Raw genomic sequence first — 19,810 nt, 5'->3', positions numbered from 1 at the left:
AGCAAGGCCCCTGTGGCCAGACTGTCTCTCTAGATTCCTCCTCCCTGGGCAGGGCATCTCTGAAAAAAAAGGCAGCAGCCCCAGTCAGGGGCTTATAGATAATACCCCCAACTCCCTGGGACAGAGCACCTGGGGAAAGAGGCAGCTATAGGCGCAGCTTCAGCAGATGTAAATGTTCCCTGCCTGATGACTCTGAAGAGAGCAGCGGATCTCCCAGCACAGCGTTCGAGCTCTGCTAAGGGTCAGACTGCCTCCTCAAGTGGGTCCCTGACCCCCATGTCTCCTGATTGGGAGATACCTCCCAGTAGGGGCCGACCGGCACCTCATACAGGAGAGCTCTCGCTGGCATCTGGCAGGTAGCCCTCTGGGACAAAGCTTCCAGAGGAAAGAACAGGCAGCAATCTTTGCTGTTCTGCAGCCTCTGCTGGTGATACCCAGGCAAACAGGGTCTGGAGTGGACCTCTAGCAAACCTGCAGCAGAGGGGCCTATTAGAAGAAAAACTAACAGAAATGAATAACATCAACATCAACAAAAAGGAAGTCCACTGACAGACCCCATCCGAAGGTCACCTACCTCAAAGACCAAAGATAGATGAATCCACGAAGATGGGGAGAAACCAGCCCAAAAAGGCTGAAAATTCCAAAAACCAGAACGCCTCTTCTCCTCCAAAGGATCACAACTCCTCGCCAGTAAGAGAACAAAACAGGATGCAGAATGAGTTTGACGAATTGACAGAAGTAGGCTTCAGAAGGTGGGTAATAACAAACTCCTCTGAGCCAAAGAAACATGTTCTAAACCAATGCAAGGAAGCTAAGAACCTTGAAAAAACATTAGACAAATTGCTAACTAGAATAACCAGTTTAGAGAAGAACATAAACGACGTGATGGAGCTGAAAAATACAGCACGAGAACTTCGTGAGGCATACACAAGTATCAATAGCCGAATTGATCAAACAGAAGAAAGGATATCAGAGCTTGAAGATCAACTTAAATACAGCGTGAAGACAAGATTAGAGAAAAAAGAATGAAAAGAAACAAACAAAGCCTCCAAGAAATATGCGAATATGTGAAAAGACCAAACCTACGTTTGATTGGTGTACCTCAAAGTGACAGGGAGAATGGAACCAAGTTCAAAAACACTCTTCAGAATATTATCCAGGAGAACTTCCCCAACCTAGCAAGACAGGCCAACATTGAAATTCAGGAAATACAGAGAACACCACAAAGATACTCCTTGAGAAGAGCAACCCCAAGACACATAATCATCAGATTCACTAAGGTTGAAATGAAGGAAAAAATGTGAAGGGCAGACAGGGAGGAAGGTTGGGTTACCCACAAAGGGAAGCCCATCAGACTAACCATGGTTCTCTCTGCAGAAACCCTACAAGCCAGAAGAGAGTGGGGGTCAATATTCAACATTCTTAAAGAAAAGAATGTTCAACCCAGAATTTCCTATCCAGGCAAACTAAGCTTTGTAAGTGAAGGAGAAATAAAATCCTTTACAGACAAGCAAAAGAGATTTTGTCACCACCCGGCCTGCCTTACAAGAGCTCCTGAAGAAAGCACTAAATATGGAAAGGTAAAACCGGTACCAGCCACTGCAAAAACATACCAAATTGTAAAGACCATCGACACTATGAGGAAACTGCATCAACTAAGACAAAATAACCAACTAGCATCATAATGAGAGGCTCAAATTCACACATAACAATATTAACCTTAAATGTAAAAGGACTAGATGCCCCAATTAAAAGACACAGACTGGCAAATTGGATAGAGTGTCAAGAACCATCAGTGTGCTGTATTCAGGAGACTCTCATGTGTAAAAACACGCATAAGCTCAAAATAAAGGGTAGGAGGAATATTTACTAAGCAAATGGACAGCAAAAAAAAAAAAAAAAGCAGGGGTTGCAATCCTAGTATCTGATAAAACAGACTTTAAACCAACAAAGATCAAACAGCAAAGAAGGACATTACATAATGGCAAAGGGATCAATACAACAAGAAGAGCTAACGATCCTAAATATATATGCTAACTATCCGAATTATATATACACCCAATAAAGGAGCATCCAGATTCATAAAGCAAGTTCTCAGAGACCTACAAAGAGACTTAGATTCCCACACAATAATAGTGGGAGACTTTAACAGTGCACTATCAATATTAGATCAATGAGACAGAAAATTAACAAAGATATTCAGAACTCAGCTCTGGGCCAAGCGGGCCCAATAGACATCTACAGAACTCTCCACCCCAAATCAACAGAATATACGTTCTTCTCAGCAACTCATTGCTCTTATTCTAAAATTGATCACATAATTGGAAGTAAAACACTACTCAGCAAATGCAAAAGAATGGAAATCATAACATTCTCTCGGAACACAGTGCAATTAAATTGGAAGTCAGGATTAAGAAACTGACTCAAAACTGCACAACAACATGGAAACTGAACAACCTGCTCCTGAATGACTACCGGGTGAATAACGAAATGAAGGCAGAAATAAATAAGTTCTTTGAAACCAATGAGAAAAAAGACACAATGTACCAGAATCTCTGGGACACACTTAAAGCAGCATGTGGAGGGAAATTTATAGCACTAGATGCCCACAAGAGAAAGCAAGAAAGATCTAAAATCGACACCCTAACATCACAATTAAAAGAACTAGAGAAGCAAGAGCAAACAAATTAAAAGCTAGCAGAAGGTGAGAAATAACTAAGATCAGAGCAGAACTGAAGGAGATAGAGACATGAAAAACCCTTCAAAAAAAAAAAAAAAAATCAATGAATCCAGGAGCTGATTTTTTGAAAAGATCAGCAAAACAGACTGCTAGCCAGACTAATAAAGAAAAGGGAGAAGAATAAAATAGACACACTAAAAAATGATAAAGGGGTATCACCACTGATCCCACAGAAATACAAACTACCATCAGAGAATACTATAAACACCTCTATGCAAATAAACTAGAAAATCTAGAAGAAATGGATAAATTCCTGGACCCATACACCCTCCCAAGTCTAAACCAGGAAGAAGTCAAATCCCAATAACAAGTTCTGAAATTGAGGCAGTTAATTAATAGCCTACCAATCAAAAAAATTCCAGGACCAGATGGATTCACAGACGAATTCTACCAGAGGTACAAAAAGGAAGTGGTACCATTCCTTCTGAAACTATTCCAAGGAACAGAAAAAGAGGGAATCCTCCCTAACTTATTTTATGAGGCCAGCATCATCCTGATACTAAAACCTGGCAGAGACACGACAAAAAAATAAAATTTCAGGCCAATATCCCTGAACATCAATGCAAAAATCCTCAATAAAATACTGGCGAAACTAATCCAGCAGCACATCAAAAAGCTTATCCACCACGATCAAGTCAGCTTCATCCCTGGGATGCAAGGCTGGTTCAACATATGCAAATAAATATACGTAACCTATCACATAAACAGAACCAATGACAAAAACCACATGATTATCTCAATAGATGCAGAAAAAGCCTTCAACAAAATTCAAAACCCCTTCATGCTGAAAACTCTCAATAAATTAGGTATTGACGGAACCTACCTTGAAATAATAAGAGCTATTATGACAAACCCACAGCCAGTATCACACTGAATGGGCAAAAACTGGAAGCATTCCCTTTGAAAACTAGCACAAGATAAGGATGCCCTCTCTCACCACTCCTATTCAACATAGCATCGGAAGTTCTGGCCAGGGGATCAGGCAAGGGAAAGAAATAAAGGGTATTCAATTAGGAAAAGGGGAAGTCAACTTGTCTGTTTGCAGATGACATGATTGTATATTTAGATAACCCAATTGTCTCAGCCCAACATCTCCTAACACTGATAAAAACTTCAGCAAAGTCTCAGGAGACAAAATCAATGTGCCAAAATCACAAGCATTCCTATACACCAATAACAGACAGAGGGCCAAATCATGAGTGAACTCCTATTCACAATTGCTACAAAGAGAATAAAATACCTAGGAATACAACTTACATGGGATGTGAAGGACCTTTTCAAGGATAACTACAAACCACTGCTCAAGGAAATAAGAGAGGACACAAATGGAAAAACATTCCATGCCCACGGATAGGAAGAATCGATATCGTGAAAATGGCCATACTGCCCAAAGTAACTGATAGATTCAATGCTATTCCCATCAAGCTACCATTAACTCTCTTCACAGAATTAGCCAAGACAATCCTAAGCGAACAGAACAAAGCTGGAGGTTATCATGTTACCTGGCTTCTAACTATACTACAAGGATACAGTAACCAAAACAGCATGGTATTGGTACCAAAACAGATATATAGATCAATGGAAGAGAACAGAAGCCTCAGAAATAATATCACACATCTACAACCATTTGATCTTTGACAAACCCGTCAAAAATAAGCAATGGGGAAAGGCTTCCCTATTTAATAAATGGTGTTGAGAAAACTGGCTAACCATATGCAGAAAGCTGAAACTGGATCCCTTCCTTACACCTTATACAAAAATTAACTCACAATGGATTAAAGACTTAAATGTAAGACCTAAAACCATAAAAACCCTAGAAGAAAACCTAGGCAATACCATTCAGGACATAAGCATGGGCAAGGACTTCATGACTAAAACACTAAAAGCAATGGCAACAAAAGCCAAAATAGACAAATGAGATCTAATTAAGCTAAAGAGCTTCTGCACAGCAAAAGAAACTATCATCAGAGTGAACAGGCAACCTACAGAGTGGGAGAATATTTTTGCAATCTATCCATCTGATAAAGGTCTAATACCCAGAATCTACAAAGAACTTAAATTTACAAAAAAAAAAAAAAAAAAACAAAAACAAAAAAAACGTCAAAAAGTGGGCAAAGGATATGAACAGACACTTCTTAAGAGAAGACATTTATGCAGCCAACAAACATGGAAAAAAAGCTCATCATCACTGGTCACTAGAGAAATGCAAATCAAAACCACAATGAGATACCATCTCACACCAGTTAGAATGGCAAGCATTAAAAAGTCAGGAAATGACACATGCTGAAGAGGATGTAGAGAAATAGGAATGCTTTTACACTGTTGGTGCAAGTGTAAATTAGTTCAACCATTGTGAAGACAGTGTGGTGATTCCTCAAAGATCTAGAACCAGAAATACCATATGACCCAGCAATCTTATTACTGGGTATACACCCCAAGGATTATAAATCATTCCACTATAAAGACACAAGCACACGCATGTTTACTGCGGCACTATTCACAATAGCAAAGACTTGGAACCAACCCAAATGCCCATCAGTGATAGACTGGTTAAAGAAAATGTGGCACGTATACACCATGGAACACTATGCAGCCATAAAAAAGGATGAATTCATGTCCTTTGCAGGGACATGGATGAAGCTGGAAACCATCATTCTCAGCAAACTAACAGAAGAACAGAAAACCACACACTGCATGTTCTCATAAGTGGGAGCTGAACAATGAGAACACATGGACACAGGGAAGGGAACATCACACACCAGGGCCTGTCGAAGGGTCAGGGGGCTAGGGGAGGGATAGCATTAGGAGAAATACCTAATGTAGATGACAGGTTGATGGGTGCAGCAAACCACCATAGCACATGTATACCTATGTAACAAACCTGCACGTTCTGCACATGTACCCCAGAACTTAAAGTATTAAAAAAAAAAAAAAAACTACAATTGCCTGTATGTGTTCAAGTGAAAGAAAGAGTCACACATCTTTTCATTTACATCAAAAACCAGAAATGATTAAGCTTAGTGAGGAAAACATGTCAAAAGAAGAGTTAGGCTGAAAGCTAGGCCTCTTGTGCCAAGCGGTTAGCTAAGTTGTGACTGTAAAATAAAAGTTCTTGAAGGTAATTAGATGTACTACTCTAGTAAACACATGAATGACATGAAAGCAAAAGAGCCTTATGTTTGATATGGAGAAAGTGCTAGTGGTTTGAATAGAAAAATCAAACCAGCCATACCATTTCCTTAAATCAGAGCCTAATCCAGAGGAAGGCCCTAACTCTCTTTAATTCTATGAAGGCTAACAGAGGTGAGAAAAAAATGTCTGAAGCTGGAAGTGGTTGGTTCATGAGGTTTAAAGAAAGAAGTCCTCTCCATAACATAAACGTGCACGGTGAAGCTGCAAGTGCTGATGTAGGAGCTGCAGCAAGTAATCCAGAAGATCCAGTTAAGGCCGCTGAAAAAAGATGGCTACACTACCCAACAGATTTTAAGCATAAACCAAAGAGCATTCTATTGGAAGATTATGCTATCTAGGACTTACCTAGCTAGAGAGAGAAGTCAATGTCTGGCTTTAATGCTTCAAAGGACAGGCTTACTCTCTTGGTAGGAGCTAATGAAGTTAGTGTCTAAATTCAAGCTAGTGCTCACTGACTATTCCAAAAATCCTAGGGCCCTTAAGAATTTCACTAAATCATCTCTGCCTGTGGTCTACAAATGCAACAAGAAGGCTGGATGATAGTACATCTGTTTACATCATGGTTTACTGAATATTTTAAGCCCACTCTTGAGATTTATTGCTCAGAAAAAAAGATTTCTTTCAAAATATTACTGTTCATTGACAATGTACCTCATAACCCGAGAGCTCTGATAGAGATGTTCAAGAAGATTCATGTTGTTTTTATGCCTGCTAACACTACATTCACTGTGCAGCCCATGGATAAAGACATAATTTTGACTTCCCACTCTTATTATTTAAGAAATATATTTTTAAGGCTATAGCTACCATAGATAGTGATTCCTCTGATGGATGTTGCCCAAGTAAATTGAAAACCTTCTGGAAAAAATTCACCATTCTACATGCCATTAAGAACATTTGTAACTCATGGGAGGAAGTCAAAATATCCACATTAACAGGAATTTAAAAGAAGTTTCTTCCAATGTTCATGGATGACTTTGAGGGTTTCAAAACTCCAGTGAAAGAAATAAATGTAGATATTGTGGAAATAGCAAGAGAAGTATAATTAAAAGTAGAGTTTGAATCTGTGATTGAATTGATGAAATCTCAGATAACCTCCTCCTTTCATGGAGGAGATGCTTCTTTTGAATGAGCTAAGGAAGTCGTTTCTTGAGATGGAATCTACTGCTGATGAAGATGCTGTGAACGCTGTTGAAATGACAACAAAGAATTTAGAGTATTATATAAACCTAATTGACAGAGCAGTGGCAGGCTTTGGGAGGATTGACCCCAATTTTGAAAGCAGTACTAGTGTGTATAAAATGCTATCAAACAGCATTTTATGCTAAAGAGAAATATTTTGTGAAAAGAGTTCTAGATGCAACAAACTTCACTGTTGTCTTATTTTCAGAAATTGCCACAGCTTTCTCAACCTGAAACCACCAACACTATGATCAGCCAATAGCTATCTACACTGAGGCAAGACCCTCCACCAGCAAAAACATTATGTCTTGCTGAAGGTTCACGTTGTTAGCATTTTTCAGCAATAGCATATTTTAAAATTAAAGTATATACATTGTATTTTTAGACATAATATTATTGCACAGTTAATAAAGTATGGTATAAACAACTTTTATATGCATTGCAAAATGAGAAAATTCACATGACTAACATTACTGTGATACTTGCTTTACTGTGGTCATCTGGAACCAAATTGCAATATTTCTGAGATATGTCTATTACTTTACCATTCTGAAGGTGAGAAGTCTGAAATGGGTCTCACTAGGATAAAGTCAGGTTGTCTGCAAGGTTATGTTCTTTCTACAGGCTCATGTTATTTCTGCAGGTTCCAGGGGAGAATCCAGTTGCTTGCCTTTTTCAGCTTCTAGAAGTTGCCTGCATTCCTTGACTTGTGACCCCATTTCATCTTCAAAAACAGCAAGGGCCAGACCCCATTTCATCTTCAAAAAAAGCAAGGGCCATCTCAGTTTGTCCCACGTGTAATCATTGCCTCACTCTTCTGCCTCCCTCTTCCACATTCACAGACCCTTGTGATCACAAAGGGCCAACCTGGGTAATTCAGGATAATTTCCTTATTTTAAAGTCAGCTGATTAACAACTTTATTTTTATCTGCTAACCTAATTCCCCTTTGTCATGTAATGTAACATATTCATATTTTCCTGGGATTATGATTTAAACAGCATTAGGAAGCCATTATTCTGTCTACCACAGATACCGCCATTTTATTTGAATGTTTGACTTAGGTTTGAACTGAATTTCATGACCCTATCAAATAACTCATTGCAGTTTCTTTGGTCTATATAAGCTGACACATATGAATAAATTGCCCTTATACTTTCTATTGTTTTCAGCCTGGAATATCATTCACTATTCAGTGCAAATTTTAAACACTGTAGTTTTATTTTTCAATAGAAGATCTAATGTTTTTATAAATGACATACCAACCTTTAAATTATGTTTTACAAACCAAACAATCATTGCAGAATTGAAATACAAGAGTAGAAACTCTCTTAGAAATTTAAGAAATGTCTTTGTATCATTATATGTGAATAAAAGAAACTCATGTACTGGAAATGTTAACTTTGTTTACTTATTGACCAGCCATGTCCATAAGTACCAATTTTACAAAATATTTAGACACCAAATGTCAAGATTGATTGGATTTATCAATTGATCCATATGTAAGAAAATTATCTCTATTTAAATAACCAAAATCAAAATATACATACATATTAGATCATTTTAAACTCAAGAAAAGGCTTTCTAAGCCCAATGCGACAGCCCTTTTGTTGTTTCCAGGTAAATCTGGAATTTATCTTTCTGTTTCCATTTTTAAACCTAGAATCTTTCTAGAAAAATAACATTGTAATTCAGTTGTATGCTTGGTTGAATCCTCTATCACATAGGAAAGTAGTTTTGCCTTATGAACCTTTTTACATTTCAAAGCTTCTTCCCCGTCCAATGAAAATAATAGTTTGTAGTTCTTTTCATCTTTGTATCATGAAAATTCAATTTCCTTTCCCTCTAAACTTTTATATATTTTTTTAACCCTTCCTATCATAAACTGTGTCATTTGGTATTTTGCCATAACTGTTTCCTTTATAGTACAGTTTATTTTTGGCCCTGCAGATAACTTTTAAAATGTCATAAATTAATATTGCTTGCATTTTTAATCAGATTACCTTTTCCTGGTGTAGGTTTTTTCCTGACAAATCTCCTGACATTCATATGAAACATACATGGGGTTATGTGGAAACCTTCCAATTAAAGACTGAAGGGTTGTAATTTGTCCAATTATTTTATCAGCATCTTAAAATAAGCATAAATTACCATGTGACCTAGGCAAATTAGTAATGTGCCTTTGAAAGACTACATGAGGGCCAACAAGATGTAAGCTTATTAAGTGAAGTAGAGAATGGATACTCAATGATTCACTATAGAATAGGAAATAAGATCTCAAATTCCAAACTAAGGATATATAAGATTGTAGCATCTAAGTGTTATTACAGTTAACTTCCTAACAATAGAATTTCATAAAACTTTAGAGGTAGAAGAGACATACTCCTAATTTCACCTGCAAAAGCTGAGATGTAGAGAGTATAGATTTGTACAAGGCCATGTGGTCATTAGCTGGCTAAGGACAATGTTCATGTCTCTGCTGTTTGTGCTTCATCTGGTCACGGGAGGGCAGCAAGTCCATTCTGAAGTTTCAATGGTTGTTACTACAATGGCATGGAGGAAGATCTATGTGTTTCCTGCTTAGTCAGCCTGTCCTAGAGAGAAGACCTGAAGGTTTCTTACCTCATGGAACTAACTGGAAGGAGTTACAGCTGCTATGGAAAGCCATTCAGCAGCTAGAACTCACTCATAAGAACTCATGAGTTCTCTTACATGGTATTATTCATATTCAGACACACGCAACAATTCAAGCATAAACATGTCAAAAGTGTAAACAGAAATTCATATTATTGAACTATAATAAAGTAACAACATGTCCTTAATGATTCAGGACTGTCAAGCATTCATTATGTTGGGGAACTGTTTGATAAATCAGAAGGGAAGAAACCTCATGAGAGCATAACATTGCTTGAAGGCCTGATAGCCCTCCAAAAGTAGATCATTGGTATCATTACAATATATTGAGATATATTTTCTAATGGTATTATAAAATAGAGATCAGCTGGGAGTGGTGGCGCACGACTGTAATCCCAGCACTTTGGGAGGCAGGGGCAGGTGGATCACGAGGTCAGGAATTCGAGACCAGCCTGACCAACATGGTGAAACTCTGTCTCTGTTAAAAATGCAAAAATTAGTTGGGCATGGTGGCACGCGCCTGCAATCCCAGCTACTAAGGAGGCTGAGGCGGGAGAATCACTTGAACCTGGCAGGCGGAGGTTGCAGTAAGCCAAGATCACACCACTGCACTCCAGCCTGGGCAACAGAGTGAGACTCTGTCTAAAAAATATATATAATTTTTCCACATTTTAGAACATAAAAATGTAGTAAAACTAAGCTGTGTGTCTGAATTTAATTCATATCTCTTAGTCTTAACATCCATTACCAGTGTGTCAATATAATGATGATGTTGATAGGAGTATTTTTTCCTCCCTAGTAACCAAATTAGGCTTCCAGTGACCAAATTAGATAATTAAAATTTCTTAAAATCATGTCTTAATATATCTTAATACTTATCAGTATTATTCACAGGATTGATGTTTAAAGGAAATGCTGTTTAGCTGTGGGAAAAACAAAAACCAATAATGGTTGTATTGGGGTCAACTATTCTTTTACTTCTTTACTTTCCAAATTTTCTTTATAAGTATGCTTGAATTTTATAAAGGAAAAGAGAATTACTGCATCTATTACGTTTTTAAGCTGCATATTTTGTCTCAAATTATACATTTTGATGGTCCCTCGTGGTCTAGTGGTTAGGATTCAGCTCTCTCAAATTATAAATTCCATTTTGAGGGCCTCAGTTGCAATTTTCTAAAGATTTCCTTTTAAAAAATGCAGGGACAAATTGTCCCTGTCAAAACTGTGTCTATTAAAAGCTATCAACCTCTTTAAGTATGTTGTTGCCGCTGCATCCCAAAGGATCTTCTGAGGGACACACTTATAAATTAAATTTTCAGGCAGCTTTGAAACATCTCTTTCATAAGAGAGTGTCCTGTGTTAGTCTCCAAGACTCACAGAGTTATTTGAGCTTTGGCCTGAGCACCATGGCCTTCCCACTGGGTCCTTTTTCTTCTTCAAAAGCTGTCCTTTGACAGGGCCATTCGGCTTGTGTGAAAGAAGAGACACATCTGAGAACCTGATGAGTTTCAGTTGGGCTGTCAGGTCAACCCTGTGTGAAAAGCTGGCTCTGGAGAGTGTGGTGATGGCCTATAGGTTGTCACTATGTTTGAAACAAGTGACTGGGAGCTCTTTTTTGAAGGGCTTATACTCTGAGTTGGCATTTGGGACACATTTTATCTCACAACCTTGCTAGTTCCTAACTCTTGAGTGGAACCCCCAACTCTGTGAGGAATTCTCAGATAACAAAACCTGAACAGAAGGACAGAGCAAAAAATACTGGGTTTAGCTGCTAGGGATTTCAAGAGAAAATGAGCCAGCCAAGAGCACGGGAATCTACCTAAGCAGTGTGCTTCTTTGGCAGGCTTTTAAAAATAAAACCCCAATATTAGGTCATTTCAGGACTCTTCGAATCAGGCTTTGATCCTCCAGAGTTTCATCTGAGGATGAAATGAGGAAGAGACTAAGAAAGGAGAAATCTTTATTAAGTTTGTATTTATCTGGGTTTCTTTACAAAGTAATAATATTCATTTTTTCTATCAACTTCTCTTAGACATGGAAAATCTGACCTTGAATATCTAAAAAGGCAAAGTTGACTTTACATGTGACCAGTAGATACATTCATAACCTCCAATAAACAAGGGGATATTTACATTTCTATAGAGTATTATGAACAACTCATAAATTGTTTTGTATTTGATATAAAATCATACAAACCATAGTGATGTCTATTTGTACATTGTATAGGTTGAGAAACCAAAGACCAAAATATTTAGTTGACTTTTTCAAGGGCAATAGGCTACTGAAACAGCTAGGTGGACAAGAAATAGGGCTCCTAAGTTCCCTAACATAATGTTTTTATGTATGATATCAGGGGACATGCCCTAGGAGAAATTTATTTTGAGACTTGCCTTGACATCAGCTGATAGTTTTCAACTAAGACCATCAGTCACTTAAGTTCTGCACACAATACAGAAGTTATTCAAGGTGGATATCAGTAGCATGTTCAGGAATTGCTGGGATATAGAAACATATTTAAAAATTGAGAGCCACTTAAAGGACATTACTAATACCGTAAGTATGGAAGGGAACAGGAGAATCTGTGTTGAGAGTCTATTTCATTAAATGCAAAGAGTTTGAGAAGAGGATTAAGCATGGGTAAAACTGGAAGCACAGAATATGAGGAGGAAGATAAAATGCAGTAGTGAAGCAAGAGATATATTTCCAATTAAACAAACTAAAAGTTTTCCATGGGTTCCCAGAAAATGAGGCAAGAAGGCATTAATGCTAGGAAGGCTCTAAAAATCTTAGATATCAATGTTGCATGAATAAATGAAAGAAGCACTCAAAACCAGAAACATTTTTCCTCATTGCTGTGACAAGGAAATGAAGGTAGAAACAGTATCAGCCAGGTGTGGTGGTGTTGCAGCATATTTCCCTAGTTCAGTTAAAGACTGGGTTCTTGTCCATATCACCGCCACGAAAATTTAGGCTCCCAAATGGCGTAAAGGGTGAGTAAAGCAGGGTTTTATTGGGTGAAAAGAGAAATGGGGCTCCTCTGCAAGGCCAGAGTCCCCTGTTAGAGCGCTTCCCACCACCCTTCTAATCCCAGGTTTCACACGGGAAGAGGAGGGGCCAGGCTCCTCCCCACTACAAACTTCCCGAGGTTACAGCTCAGTGGACAGGCTGGTTGGAGTTTCTCCAGGGACCCCCTCCCACCTGGCTGTCTCATTCCTCCATCTAAAGAAGTACGTGTGGCCGGGTGCATTGGCTCACACCTGTAATCCCAGCACTTTGCGAGGCCAAGGGGGGTGGACCACCTGAGGTCAGAAGACCAGCCTGACCAATATGGAGAAGCCCCGTTTCTACTAAAAATACAAAAATTAGCCGGGCATGGTGGCGGGTGCCTGTAGTCCCAGCTACTCGGGAGGCTGAGGCAGGAGAATCGCTTGAACCTGGAAGGCAGAGGTTGCAGTGAGCTGAGATCATGCCACTGCACTCCAGCCTGGGAGACAGAGCGAGACTCTTGTCTCAAAAAAAAAAAAACAAAACAAAACAAAAAGTACATCTAACTGCCCTTAGAATAAGAACGAAGACTGATCTTAACTGCTTTCTGCTAACAGGAGGCGCTATTTTGGGGAAGCGGCAGTCAGAGCTTCCCTAGAGGCCTAAGGGGTCCCAGCAGAAGGGGCTATCGTCAGACGCTCTGGTTGAATGACTGTTTGGAGTTTGATGTCCTGAAGGCAAGAACAGACAAACTGGGTTATTAGAAAACATGTATTTAAATGAAACAAGGGGAGGGGTAAGAACAGCTAAAAAATTCCAAGGCCTTTTACCAGTTTGCACAGGGAGAGGGAGGCCAAAAGCCCGACTGGTTAAAAAACTATGCTTTTGCTGGCAGGTTGGGCTTCTGGGTTCCCTTCTCCTGAGCCCAATCCTAAACCAACCAGTTTAAGGGTTGGGAAATTAACTCTTTCCAGTTTGGAGGCTTCATCTGAGGGGAGTCTCCCATAGTACAGAGACACAATTACATATCAGTGAAGAGAGGATCCGAGGAGAAAGGAATAAAAAGGCATTTTTCAAAGGAGTCCCAGGGTTTCAGCATGCATTCTAAAGGGATACAGGCAGAAGATGAATGGCTACCCATTTAGAAAGAGGGGAGCAAGTGTCCCTGGTTCCCTTCTCTTCCTATCAGATACCCAGGGTATGTAGGGCAGAGAGGGAAGAGTGTCCACTTTCCCTCTTCTGTCCTTGCATCCACGAGCTCCAGCGACTTTGGCAGGCACCACCGTGAGTGCAAAAGTGACTTGAACCCATGAAGCGGGGGGGGCTAGAGAATAGGAATTATCCACTCTCACCTATGTCTCTTTCCCACCTACTGCCAGTAGCCTTGGAGTTCCCTAGACCTCATTTATGCCATGGATATTAACGTGGCCTTTATCCATGAAACAGGAAGCTTGCGGCTGGCTTAAATGGCAGGAATCAGCCACACTCACCTAAGCTGTGCCTTTTAACCTCTGCTTGCCTCTGGATCCCTTAGATCCAGTTCTCTTTCCTAGAGCTTTGACCTAAAGCTTGGAATTGAGTCTGGGACAAAAATATGTCTCAGGGGGGTTGCATGGACTCCTTATCATAAGCCAAATCTAAGGTGAAACTGTGGAACTGAGTCCTCCTCCAACAAGGGAGAGGAAAGGATGTCTTGTGACATACCCATCTAACTGCTGGCTATAGTTAGGCTTGCTGGGATTTGGGTGAATGGTGCTTGGCTTTGGTTAGTTCCCTTGGTCTTACTTTCCCAAAAGGAAACCTCTGGGTGATGGGCACACTATTTATTCCATCACCGGATAGGATTTGCAGGATAATTGCTCAGAACTAGAGTATCAATCCGGATTCCTACATTACTCATCCTGTTAGTTCTTTCTGAGCTGCAGCCAGAGATTGCTGGTAGGGTCACAGGAACAAGCAGGGTTAGTGTAAAATGTAGGCAAAAACTTAAAAACAACTAATGAGTTTCAAATTTAATGACAGATGTATGGTAAGTTTGATGAGTTTTGGGACATAATTTCTCCTTCCAGTCCTCAATTTTGTTACCAAAAAAAAAATATGATAGGACTGAGTAGTTTGCAAAATAGACTTGGCTTGATTATTGGCATAAAGTACAGCAAGAATAATTATTTCTACAAAGGCCTTTTGTATTGGCTTTGATGGAAGTTTGTTCCACAAGGAATCTCAGATAAGACCTTTTAAAGCCCAGCCCAACCATGGGTTTGCATCCTCAAAAACCTGTGAGCTGGGTGATCCTCTCCTCTTGAGGTCCCAAGATAAACTTGGAGTTCCTAGACCTGTTAGAAAGTGACACTCTTTACTGAACACAAGTCAGGAACCCTGATTAGGGACTGTGTAGAGGAGGGTCTCAGGCCAGTCTCCCATGGAGCTTTTATCGGCTCTGTAAGTCGAACTTGACTCCTTATAGGGAAGCATACCCTTCCAGTCAAAGTCTTGATAAAATAACAGTTTTTTTCCAATTGTGTTCTAATGCAAAAGAAAAATGGATTTTTATTGCTGTCATCCAAACAACTATATTGCCATAAGAATACTCATAGTTTCCAAATTCTAGAGGAGCCAGGCAGAGGGAAACAAACATGCTCCAAATTCTGATCACAGGAGTGTATACCTTATTTATTAAAAAACTTTAAATAGTTCAAAATAAGTTTCCTTGACTCTGAAAAACAGAACATAGATCAGCAATATTCCAGGCAAAAGTCAAAAAAGTTGCTTCTGCTTTGAGTTCAGTCCATTTAGTAAACTCTTGCTTTGCTTGATATTCACGAGCATTTCAGCTCTTCATGAGTCTTGTACATTTTCCTTTATTCCAATGTTACAATCTCTAAAGTTATCACAAGTCTGTATTTGAGAGCACCTGTTAAAGTTCTATAGCTCATTTTAAACCATCTTTGAAAAGGATTAAAACAAGACAAAAATTGTCTGTGAATAGCAAAATATCCAGGGTAGTTACAGTTAGAAACACAACAGGGAAAGAAGTTTAGTTATCTCTATGGTTTACAATAACTTAACAACCTTCATTATGATTGATGGCATATACTTAGCCATTAGTTTTAGAAATCCCATACAATTTTCGAACATATGTTAGCATTATTCACCAAGATATAACCTAAGGAAGATTGAACATCATTTTGGCAATCCTGTATACGTGAACACGTCAAATAATCCTGTTTGCCTCTCTTTTCTGGACACTTCAGGGGCCCTCTGAAGTATTCGCAAAGCCAGGTGCCAGGGAAGACAATTTTGAAACTGAAGTTTGATTTTGGTTAGGCTGCTAAATGTTCGAGGTCTAAAACACTTAATATTATGAAACAGAATTCCAGATTGCCAAAAAGTTATTTATTTTGCCAAAATGATGACTCAGAAATTTTAAAGAAGCAAAAACCTTTCATGAATCTTTATAAATTTTGCCGAAGACCAGATTAGCATTTTAAGAATACCTTCTGATTGTATTTCAATGCTCAATTTGCAGAAAAACCACATAATACCTTTTTTTGAATTCAGTCAATATGTTCACACAGAGAACCTCTTTTTCAAGATTAATTTCCAGAATTTTTCCAACACTTCTTTGAACCTTCAGCTTTTTCCTAACTCAAAACAATCCTGTAACCCTAGGCGAAAGTTTACATTTCCACACCTTCTTATAACCTTTCACTAAAAAAAACACAAAACACATTTTACTGTTCCTACACACCTTGCATGCAAATCCATTTCTAGTAATGTCGATAAACTCCTAGCAATTTTTAACTTTAAGGGAAAACTTGATAAGTTGCCTTAATTGTGTGCTAACTGCAGCCACGTTTTGCCTTCTTAGTCAAGTCTGTGGTTAGTTCCATATGTCCCCAGGCCTTACCAATTGCGAAGCTGGCAAAGCAAATAGTTCTCAAAACCCAACAAGCAGTTTAACCTCAAAACACTTGCATCTGACCTGCATTTTACTAAGTCTTTAGGGCTGTTTTTATTTCTTAAAGATTAAAGCCACGTGAACTGAAAGGTACCACAGATTTTATCTGCCCTTTAAAAAATATTAGATCCAAGTGCTTGTCTTTCTTTAGGACAAATTAATTAGAACTCTTTTTACGGACATCACACACTACACACACACAAAAAAATCCAGTCGCTAGGTGGGGTCCTTTAAGAAACAGGGCTAGGAAAACATGCAGATATCAAACCAGAAAGAAACTTACTTCCTAAGGCAGGATTGCTAAACAAAGCCTTGCCACCAGTTACAAGCCATGCCCTCAGGATGTAAAACAACATGGAGGCTTCATTTCACAACCAAAACTTTGCAGAAAATATAAACAGCGATAGCTGCGGGGCTGGGGGGCCTACCTTAATACAACATCTTCTAGAAAGAAAGAAAAAAAGAAACTTTAAAAGTTAACTTGCTGACAGGACACAGAAGGGGAAAGAAAATCAACAGTTTAAGAATGCCTGGGGAAGAACCTCTTATTCTTATGCAACTGTTTCCTCCACCAGTTGCATAAGAAAAGTTAAAGCTTAATTACTGTCGGATGGAGTAGAACCCCTTGGGTGGGGAAGGGGAAGGCTGCAGACGCTTGTGGCTGGGAACCAGCCAACCGGCTGTGCGGGACCCTTAGGCCATGCATCCCAGCCCCGCAAGGAGTGGGGAGCGGCTGGGAACTGCTGCTCGCTAGTCCGTCTGGAAAAAGGAAAAGACCGTGAAAAGGCCCCCGACCCCCAGGAGCGACAAGGGGTGGGGAGCGGTCTCCCATATGCTCAGAAGTTGCAGGATGAAAAGTCTTAGAAACAAGGGTGAGCGGTTTTCCGAGATAGTCCCGCTCTTGTCGCGCAGGCTGGAGTAGAGTGGCGTGATCTTGGCTCACTAAAACCTCCGCCTCCCAGCCAGCTTCAAGTGATTCTCCTGCCTCAGCCCCCTGTGTAGCTGAGATTACAGGCGCGCGCCACCACACCGGCTTATTTTTGTATTTTTACTAGAGAGGGGTTTCACCATGTTGGCCAGGCTGGTCTCAAACTCCTGACCTCACGTGATCCGCTCGCCTTGGCCTCCCAAAGTGCTGGAATTACAGGCATCAGCCACCGCGCCCGGCCAACAGTGAGAGGTTTTGAGTCCCCCTTTCACTCACCTCTTCAAGAGCCCCAACGTTGCACGCCAAGAATGTTGCAGGACTTTTCCTTCCTTCATCTGAAGACTGGGTTCTTGTCCGTCCCAAGGCCAGGAAAATTTAGGTTTGGAGAAGGTTTAAAGGGTGAATAAAGCAGGGTTTTATCGAGTGAAAGTCGGCGGGAAGAAAAAAAGGGAAACAAGTTTCCTCCGCAAGGTCAGAGTTCCCCGATCGAGGCTTCCTGTCGGCCCTTGAAATCGCAGGTTCCACACAGGAAGAGGAGGGGCCAGGCTCCTCCCTATTGAACTTCCTGAGGCTACACCTCAGTGGGCAGGCTGATTAGAGTTTGTCCAGGGTACCCCCCTCACCTGGCTGTTTCAGTGGCACACACCTGTAATCCCAGTGCTTGAGGAGGTGGAAGTAAGAGGATCACTGGCAGGCCAAGGGATTGAGAGCAGCCTGGGCAACACAGCAAGACTATCTCTCCAAAAATCTTAAAAAATTAGCCGGGCATGGTGGTGCGCACCTGTAGTCCTAGCTACTTGAGAAGCAGAGGTTTGAGGATTGCTTGAGCCCAGCGGTTCGAGGTTGCAATGGGTACTGATCACACCACCGCTCTCCAGCCTGGGCAGCAGGCTGACACCTCATCATCTCTGGGAAAAAAAAAAAAAGAAAGAGAAGAAAAACCCAGGAATCTCTAAGATGGTTTAAGTTTCATAATTTCTGCATTTTGATAAAAATGAAGTTTAGGCTTCCTTTTCCACAGTGACTACTCTCTCCACAATGCAGGATTCATATCCTAAGTAACTGATTCTCTGAAACCTAAACATGAAAATTCACATATTTTTAAAGGGAAGTAAATAAGTGCAATTAGACTTGAGCATGACCTAGAAACTTGTTCTTATGATTCTGAAAGCTTGTTTTGTAGAAGCCTCCGAGTTTTAGTTTATTTGAAAAAAAATTACTATTGTCAAACATCCCCAAATTTTAGCTTTATGATTGTGAATATTTCAGAGTGCACCAGCGCTGATGAAATCTTTATTAGCTATGGAATAAAATCCTTGATGAAAACCAGTTGCCCACAAATTGCTGGATATACATATCTATTAAAATTTTAATCAGTTTTTTTGTATCTCTTTTTACAACTGTATACACTTCTTAAAGTATTAGTAGGCACTAACAAAACTTATAGAAACCAAAAGTAGAAACTAGATTAGTGGTCACCAATAATTGAAAATCTCAAAGATAAAATTTGCTCATTCCATTTCATTAATCCTAGTTCCTGTTTATCAAGACTCTTGCTTTTTTTGTTATATTTTGTTATAATTTATTTCAGCATATCATAAATAATCAGTTTCATCCTAGTCCTGAAAACTAGGACAGTAGGAGGGTTTGTTCCTGGTCAGATGAGCAAAGAAATTTAAGAAAAGGTAACTCATATTAATGTCTATTCCTGTGTAATTTGGGGTTTTGTGGCCATTCGTATCCTTCCCTTCCTAACAGTTGCTATTTGTTGTTGTCTAATTTTTACTGAGCCCTATCCTCTGTATTAACTAGAGTAATTGTGATGAAATAATTTACCTTTCTCAAGTGTCTCCATGGCCAAAAATGTCTATGTAGAAAAAATGAACTTTATTTTTAGAGCAGTTTGAGGCTCACAGTAGTATTAAGCAGAAGGTACAGAGATTTCCCATTTACCTTCTGCCCCCAAATCTGTGTAGCACCCATTCATTTTTAACCTTCTTCACACTAAAGTTTCTTATGGTGATTGGTTTAAGAGTGGTGATTTGGTTTTATTCTCTAATTAAGGGGAATGAAATTGTACCAGGCATGCATAAATTACACACTGCATTTGGATTACGTTGCTAGAATTTCTTAGATGACTTATCAGAATTTGAAAAGATGAATGTATTCTTTCATATTCTACAGATCTTT

At 39.5% G+C, this 19,810-nt stretch overlaps 1 protein-coding gene and 1 long non-coding RNA gene across 20 annotated transcripts in view, besides 2 other annotated features; one reads left to right on the top strand and one right to left on the bottom strand.

Moving 5' to 3' along the window:
* Nucleotides 1-18,103, bottom strand: part of ZNF385D-AS1 (ZNF385D antisense RNA 1) — a 37,171-nt gene extending 19,068 nt beyond the window's left edge. The window contains exon 1 of the long non-coding RNA NR_046731.1: nt 17,897-18,103. This is a non-coding gene — a long non-coding RNA (ZNF385D antisense RNA 1). The remainder of the gene's footprint in view (nt 1-17,896) is intronic.
* The window catches only part of ZNF385D (zinc finger protein 385D), a 960,546-nt gene that overhangs the window by 811,872 nt on the left and 128,864 nt on the right, over nt 1-19,810 (top strand). The gene's annotated exons all lie outside the window — the stretch shown is intronic.
* Nucleotides 12,385-13,209: an enhancer, noted in NCBI's record as "H3K4me1 hESC enhancer chr3:21589175-21589999 (GRCh37/hg19 assembly coordinates)". NCBI's record gives its function as "activates a minimal SCP1, AML or CMV promoter by ChIP-STARR-seq in naive H9 embryonic stem cells {active_cell/tissue: H9 hESC(naive)}" and the evidence as "EXISTENCE:reporter gene assay evidence [ECO:0000049][PMID:30033119]".
* Nucleotides 16,955-17,535: an enhancer, noted in NCBI's record as "OCT4-NANOG-H3K27ac-H3K4me1 hESC enhancer chr3:21584849-21585429 (GRCh37/hg19 assembly coordinates)". NCBI's record gives its function as "activates a minimal SCP1, AML or CMV promoter by ChIP-STARR-seq in naive and primed H9 embryonic stem cells {active_cell/tissue: H9 hESC(naive and primed)}" and the evidence as "EXISTENCE:reporter gene assay evidence [ECO:0000049][PMID:30033119]".

This window comes from Homo sapiens, chromosome 3, assembly GCF_000001405.40.
Source record: "Homo sapiens chromosome 3, GRCh38.p14 Primary Assembly".
Taxonomy (NCBI): Eukaryota; Metazoa; Chordata; class Mammalia; order Primates; family Hominidae; genus Homo; species Homo sapiens.
The sequence above is the reverse complement of the archived record's forward strand: the minus strand, read 5'-3'. Positions and strand labels throughout refer to the sequence as shown.